The sequence below is a fragment of the Homo sapiens genome, chromosome 7 (assembly GCF_000001405.40).
Source record: "Homo sapiens chromosome 7, GRCh38.p14 Primary Assembly".
Classification (NCBI taxonomy): domain Eukaryota; kingdom Metazoa; phylum Chordata; class Mammalia; order Primates; family Hominidae; genus Homo; species Homo sapiens.
The window spans coordinates 100,983,162-100,990,340 of NC_000007.14; the positions used below are offsets into that span (position 1 = coordinate 100,983,162).

A 7,179-nucleotide genomic window follows, 5' to 3' on the forward strand; every position below is an offset into this window, starting at 1 on the left:
GTAATCCCAGCACTTTAGGAGGCCAAGGCGGGTGGATCATGTGAGGTCAGGAGTTCAAGACCAGCCTGTCCAACATGGCAAAACCACGTCTCTAATAAAAATACAAAAAGTAGCCGGGTACAGTGGTGGGCACCTGTAATCCCAGCAACTTGGGAGGCTGAGGCAGGAGAATTGCTTGAGTCCGGGAGATGGAGGTTGCAGTGAGCCGAGATCCTGCCAGTGCACTCCAGCCTGGGCAACAGAGCGAGACTCCGTTAAAAAAAAAAAAAAAAGAAATAGCCATGTCCACCTTGCAGACTTGTTGTGATGTTGTGATGTTTATATTTGGTAACTAAGAAAAAGCAGGCTTTAGACTTCCCAGCATGCACTGACTCATTCACTGAGAAAGTCTAATTAAGCCTCTACAGGGCCAACTGAACAGGGCAGAAATGTTCTCTACCCTCACGGAGTTCACAGCCTACAAGGGCAAAGACATTCCTAGGCAGTTACAGAATCACTGAGTTCCAGTTAATGTGTCCTGTGATAGGGCGAGTACAGGAATCTGCTCTGTACCCAATAAATGCCAGCTCTCCCCACCCCTGTTCATACCTCATGAGTCGTTATGGAGATAACCATAAACGTCCTTTATATGCTTTTTCATTGTTTGACTTGTGACAATAGACACATTCTACTTTTATAACGTAAAAATTCCAGTAAAATTTATGAGTAAACCCAAGAGACTCCCATTTTTAAAAGAAGAAGGAAAAAATGACAAATCAAGTATCACCTCCTCCTGGAAGCCTCCCTTGATGACAGGCAGGAAAGTCCACCCTGCTGCATTGAGCCCTGCCCTGCCTTCATGTGGGCCTCTGCTGTCTCCTCGTTGTACTGAGGGTCTAGGAGCCCCCATGAGGGGCGGGGGGTACATCTACCTTTGATCTCAGTGTTACCAGATGGCACCATGCTCTTGGTGTCCCAAACAAAGAATTGGATATGACACATACAAATAGCAAAGCAAGCAGCAAAAGTTTGTTACGTATAGTATTACACTCTCAAAGAGGGGAGAGCGGACTGATCTCTGTGAGGTGAGATCAGCATCAGTTTGGTGTACTTTGCATCTTTTTTTTTTTTTTTTTGACAGAGTCTCGCTGTGTCACCCAGGCTAGAGTACAGTGGCATGATCTTGGATCACTGCAACCTCTGCCTCCTGGGTTCAGGCGATTCTCCTGCCCCAGCCGCCCAAGGAGCTGGGATTACAGGCGCCCACCACCATACCCGGCTAATTTTTATATTTTTAGTAGAAACAAGGTTTCACCACGTTGGCCAGGCTGGCCTCGAACTCCTGACCTCAGGTGATCCTCCTGCCTTGGCCTCCCAAAGTGCTGGGATTACAGTTGTGAGCCACCATGCCCGACCACTTTTCATCTTTTTATGTGTTTTTGTTTTTTTTTAACTTCTCTTCCCAAGGCCGTCTAATCTCTAGCCAGCATCTGCCTTTTGATTGATAGGTGTGTCATTTAGTTACTTTGGCCTTTGTGTGCTTGCGCATCGCCTCCATCTCATAATCTTAAGTCCAGGCATGATATGCAGTCCACGTAGGTGAGCTGTAATGAGCTGATTATGATACAGGGTTATGTTAAAGATACTTTTTCTCTCTAACGGACATGCCTAGCACTGAGGAGCTACCCCTTACTGGTTTGGTCTGGATCTTGCTGGCCGTGGGATCTCCTTTTTATTTTTTTGGGATGGAGTCTCACTCTGTTGCTCAGGCTGGAGTGCAGTGGCTCACGATCTCGGCTCACTGCAACCTCTGCCTCTTGGGTTCAAGAGATTCTCCTGCCTCAGCCTCCTGAGTAGCTGGGATTACAGGCACCCGCCACCACGCCTGGCTAATTTTTGTATTTTTAGTAGAGATGGGGTTTCACCATGTTGGCCAGGCTGGTCTCAAACTCCTGACCTTAGGTGATTGAGGGCCTTCCAAAGTGCTGGGATTACAAGCATGAGCCACTGCACCTGGCCAAGGGGAGCAGAGTTTTAAAGGATAACTTGGTGGGTTGGGGGAGCCAGTGAGTCAGGAGTGCTGATTGCAAAGGGATGAAATCACAGGGAGTCGAAGCTGTCTTCTTGCACTGAGTCAGTTCCTGGGTGGGGGCCACAAGATCAGCTGAGCCAGTTTGTCCATCTGGGTGGTGCCAGCTGATCCATCAAGTGCGGGGTCTGCAAAATATCTCAAGCACTGATTTTAGGAGCAGTTTAGGGAGGGTCAAAAATCTTATAGCCTCCAGCTGCATGGCTCCTAAACCATCATTTCTAATCTTGTGGCTAATGTTAGTCCTACCAAGGCAATCTAGTCCCCAGGCAAGAAGAAAGTCTGCTTTGGGAAAGGGCTGTTACCATCTTTGTTTCTTCCAAAGTTAGTTCAGCCTACTCCCAAGAATGAACAAGGACAGCTTGGAGGTTAGAAGCAAGGTGGAGCCAGTTATGTGAGATCTCTTTCACTGTCTCAGTCATAATTTTGCAAAGGCGGTTTCAGCTGGAGGGCTGAGTTTTCCTGTGGGTGCAGAAAGGCAGGGTGGCTGAGGATTGTGGTGGCCTCTGGACGAGACACAGAGGAGGTTCTTGAGAGGTGATTGGGGAAGGTGACCTCAGAGACCAGGAGGCCAGAGGGGTCCCTCACTCAAGTGAGGGAGGAAGCCTGTGGGAAGGAACGCCTGCGTGAGCCTGTTTTGAACCCTGCCACCCTCACTTTGGTGCCGGCCTATCCTCTGCCATCCTCTCTGACCCTTGTATTCAGGGCTCAGAGATGCCCCACCTCCACCTTGGCAGCCCCTGGAGCTCAGCCCCTCCACTTCCATCAGGTTGAACTAGACAAAACTTAGCTCATAAACGAGAGGATTGGGCAAAACCACAAAAGTCCACCGACTTCAAAACAAACATGTGGCCGGTGTGTGCCTCAAGCCTGTAATCCCAGCCCTTTGGGAGGCCGAGGTGTGAGAATCACTTGAGGCCAGAAGTTTGAGACTGGCCTGGGCAACATAGCAAGATCCCATCTCTAAAAAAAACAAAATTTTAAAATTAGTGGGGCATGGTGGCACACCCCTGTAGCCCCAACGATTTGGGAGGCTGAGGCAGGAGGATCGCTCCAGCCTAGAAGTTTGAGGCTGCAGTTACTCCAGCCTAGAAGTAGGATGGTGATATAGTTTGAATATTTATCCCTTCCCAGATCTCATGTTGAACTGTAATTCCCAGCCCAGGTAACAGAGTGAGACCCTGTCTCAAAAAAAAAAAAGAAAAAAAAAGCCATCAAAACCCCAAAATCTCCCCCAAACACCAAGCAATCTTTTCCATCTTTTTCATGAAGTTAGAATTCCAAAAAATCTTAGGCATCATTGCCTTTCACCTGAACTGCACTGATCAATGATTTGATAGTGCTCTGTCTACCCCTGCACCCCGGCCTTCCGTCTTGGTCCAGCTCCTAGCCTCTCCCTGTGACTGTGTGTCTTTTTCATGACTCGGTAAAACTGGGGCCATCTGGGATGGCAGAGGGTGCCTCTGCTCTGGAGGACTGAACCGTCTCCTCTGCCAGGGGCCAAGGTTGGCCTTCCTGAGACAAGTGAGAAAAATGCAGCTCCTGGCATCTCGGAGATTGACAGATGGGACAAGAGGCCACACACCCTGTCCTCTCAAGGAAGTCCCTTATATGTCATCCTGTAGAATTCCTAGTAACTCCTGGGCTGGTGGCACTTCCATCACAGATTCTGTGCATATACAATCTGATTCATTTCATAGGCAGGATGAAGAAAGCCAGGGATTATATGTCCGTCTTACATAGGAAAATGGAATCCTACACGTACTGTCCCATGTTCTAAGTGGCACAGAGAAAATACAGTAGCCCCTCCAGTCCAGGGCCAAGATAATGGTTTTTTTTTTTTTTTTTTTTTTTTGAGACAGAGTCTCGCTCTGTCACCCAGGCTGGAGTGCAATGGTGCAATCTCGGCTCACCGCAACCTCTGCCTCCCTGGTTCAAGCGACTCTCCTGTCTCAGCCTCCCAAGTAGCTGGGATTACAGGCGCATGCTACCATGCCTGGCTAATTTTTGTATTTTTAGTAGGGATGGGGTTTCACCATATTGGCCAGGCTGGTCTTGGACTCCTGACCTCAAGTGATCTGCCTGCCTCAGCCTCCCAAAGTGCTGGGATTATGGGTGTGAGTCACTGCACCCAGCCTAGCTAATGATTTTTTTTACAGTTGTAGCCCTTTGAGTGGGCCTGAACCAGGGTGCAGGAGGCACTCCATGGGCAGGCTACGAGGGCTGCAGGATGACCAGGTAGAGGGGGCAGTGTTCCAAGAAGGGTGATGCTAGCCTTTGAATATTTGTCCTCACCCAAATCTCATGTTGAGTTGTAATCCCCAGTGTTGCAGGAGGGGCCTTGTGGGAGTTGTTTGGATAATGGGGGCAGATCCCTGTTGAATGGCTTGGACCATCCCCTTGGTGATGAGTGAGCTCTCATTCTGAGTTCACACAAGATCTGGTCTTTTAGAAGTGTGTGGGCCAGGCGCGGTGGCTCGCGCCTGTAATCCCAGCACTTTGGGAGGCCGAGGTGAGCAGGTCACCTGAGGTCAGGAGTTTGAGACCAGCCTGACCAACATGGAGAAACCCCACCTCTACTAAAATACAAAATTAGCCAGGCATAGTGGTGCATGCCTGTAATCCCAGCTACTTGGGAGGCTGAGGCAGGAGAATCACTTGAACTGGGGAGGCAGATGGTGCGGTGAGCCAAGATCACGCCACTGCACTCCAGCCTGGGCAACAAGAGTGAAACTACGTCTAAAAAAAAAAAAAGAAAAGAAAAGAAAAAAAAGAAGTGTGTGGCATTGGCTGGGCTTGGTGGCTCACGCCTGTAATCCCAGCACTCTGAGAGGCCAAGGCAGGCAGATCATTTGAGGTTAGGAGTTCGAGATCTGCCTGGCCATCATGGTGAAACTGTCTCTACTAAAAATACAAAAATTAGCCGGGTGCAGTGGTGGGTGCCTGTAATCCCAGCTACTCAGGAGGCTGTCAGGAGAATCACTTGAACCCAGGAGGCGGAGGTTGCAATGAGCCGAGATCGCGCCAATGCACTCCAGCCTGGGTGACAGGCTGTCCCAGAAAAAAAAAAAAAAAAAAAAAAGAAAGAAAGAAATGTGTGGCACCTCCCCTACCCTCTTTGCCTCTCTTGCTCCTGCTTTTGCCATGTGACCAGCCTGCTCTCCCTTCACCTTCTGCCATGATTGGAAGCTTCCTGAGGCCTCCCTAGAAGCAAACACCAGCACCATCCTTCCTGTACGGCCTGCAGAACTGTGAGCCAATTAAATCTCTTTGCTTTATAAATGACCCAGGCTTACGTATTTCTTTATAGCAATGCAGGAAAGGCCTAATAGAGGTGGCTAGCTCTTGTGTATGTAAATGCATCTGGAGAGAAAGGACAGAGATAATTGTCCATGGAACGGGTGACTGCCTTAGCTCTTCTGTTTTTCCTGGGTTGGTGGCAGCTGCAGGGTTAGAGGTCAAAGGGGTCTCTCAGATGTCAAGGATGAGGAAGAGAGACTTGTCAGACCAGATATGGTTTGGCTGTGTCCCCACTCAAATCTCATCTTGAATTGTAGCTCCCACAATTCCCATGTGTTGTGGTGTTGTGGGAGGGACCCAGTGGGAGATAATTGAATCATTGGGGGCAGTTTCCCCCATACTGTTCTTGTGGTAATGAATAAGTAAGTCTCACGAGATCTGATGGTTTTATAAAGGGAAACCCCTTTCACTTGGCTCTCATTCTCTCTCTTGCCTGCTGCCAAGTAAGATGTGCCTTTCACCTTCCACCATGATTGTGAGGCCTCCCCAGACATGTGGAACTGTGAGTCCATTAAACCATTTTTTCTGTATAAATTACCCAGTCTCTGGTATGTCTTCTTCCTCTTCTTCTTTTTTTTTTTTTTTTTTTGAGACAGAGTCTCACTCTGTCACCCAGGCTGGAGTGCAGTGGTGCGATCTCAGCTCACTGCAACCTCGCAACCTCTGCCTCCTGGGTTCAAGTGATTCTCCTGCCTCAGCCTCCCAAGTAGCTGGGATTACAGGTGCCTGCCACCACACCCGGCTAATTTTTGTATTTTTAGTAGAGATGAGTTTCACAATGATGCCTAGGCTCATCTCGAACTCCTGACCTCAAGTGATCTGCCACCTCGGCATCCCAAAGTGCTAGGATTATAGGCATGAGCCACCACACCTGGCCTTGGGTATGTTTTTATCAGCAGTGTGAAAATGGACAAGTATGATGTGTAAACCAGACAATATAAGGTCTGCAAAATGCAGAATGTGAGGAACAAAAGGAACGCGTGTGGGGGCATTTGTGGGAGTACAACCTTCTGCTGGAATTGATGCCTGAGCACCTTGATAGATGAACATGTCCCAGTGTGGCTAGGGTGGAAAGAGCAGGCAATACTGGACAGAGGCATATAAGTACAGTTCTCCACAACCATACAGATATGAAAACCCAGAGCCATACTACTAACAATTCAAGTTCATTTTTTTTTTTTAGATGGTGTCTCACTCTTTCACCAGGCTGGAGTGCAGTGTCATGATCTCAGCTCACTGCAACCTCCACCTCCTGGGTTCAAGCGATTCTCATGCCCTAGCCTCCCAAGTAGATGGGATTACAGGTGTACACCACCACACCTGGCTAATTTTTTTGTATTTTTAATAGAGATGGGGTTTCACTATGTTGGCCAAACTGGTCTCAAACTCCTGATCTCAAGTGATCCACCCACCTCGGCCTCCCAAAGTGTTGGGATTATAGGTGGGAGCCACCTCACCTGGCCCTAAAAATTCAAGTTACAAATTACAGTCAAGACTCAGAAAAGTATCTAGTGACACCCTGCCCGCTAGCCAAATGGTTATATTCCACAGAAGGCACAAGGGTCTATAACAGGGGTCCCCAACCCCCTGGCCCCAGACCAGAACTGGTCCGTGGCCTGTCAGGAACCAGGACACACGGCAAGAAGTGAGTAGCGGGCCAGCGAAGCTGAGCTCTGCCTCTTGTCGGATCAGGAGCGGCATGAGATTCTTCCAGGAGGACTAACCCTGCTGTGAACTGTGCATGCAAGGGATTTAGGCTGCACCCCCTTATGAGAATCTAACGGTAAATGTAATGTGCTTGAATCATCCCA

General features: G+C 48.8%; 1 protein-coding gene across 1 annotated transcript in view; it reads left to right on the forward strand.

Moving 5' to 3' along the window:
* Positions 1 to 7,179, forward strand: part of MUC12 (mucin 12, cell surface associated) — a 49,372-nt gene that overhangs the window by 13,597 nt on the left and 28,596 nt on the right. The gene's annotated exons all lie outside the window — the stretch shown is intronic.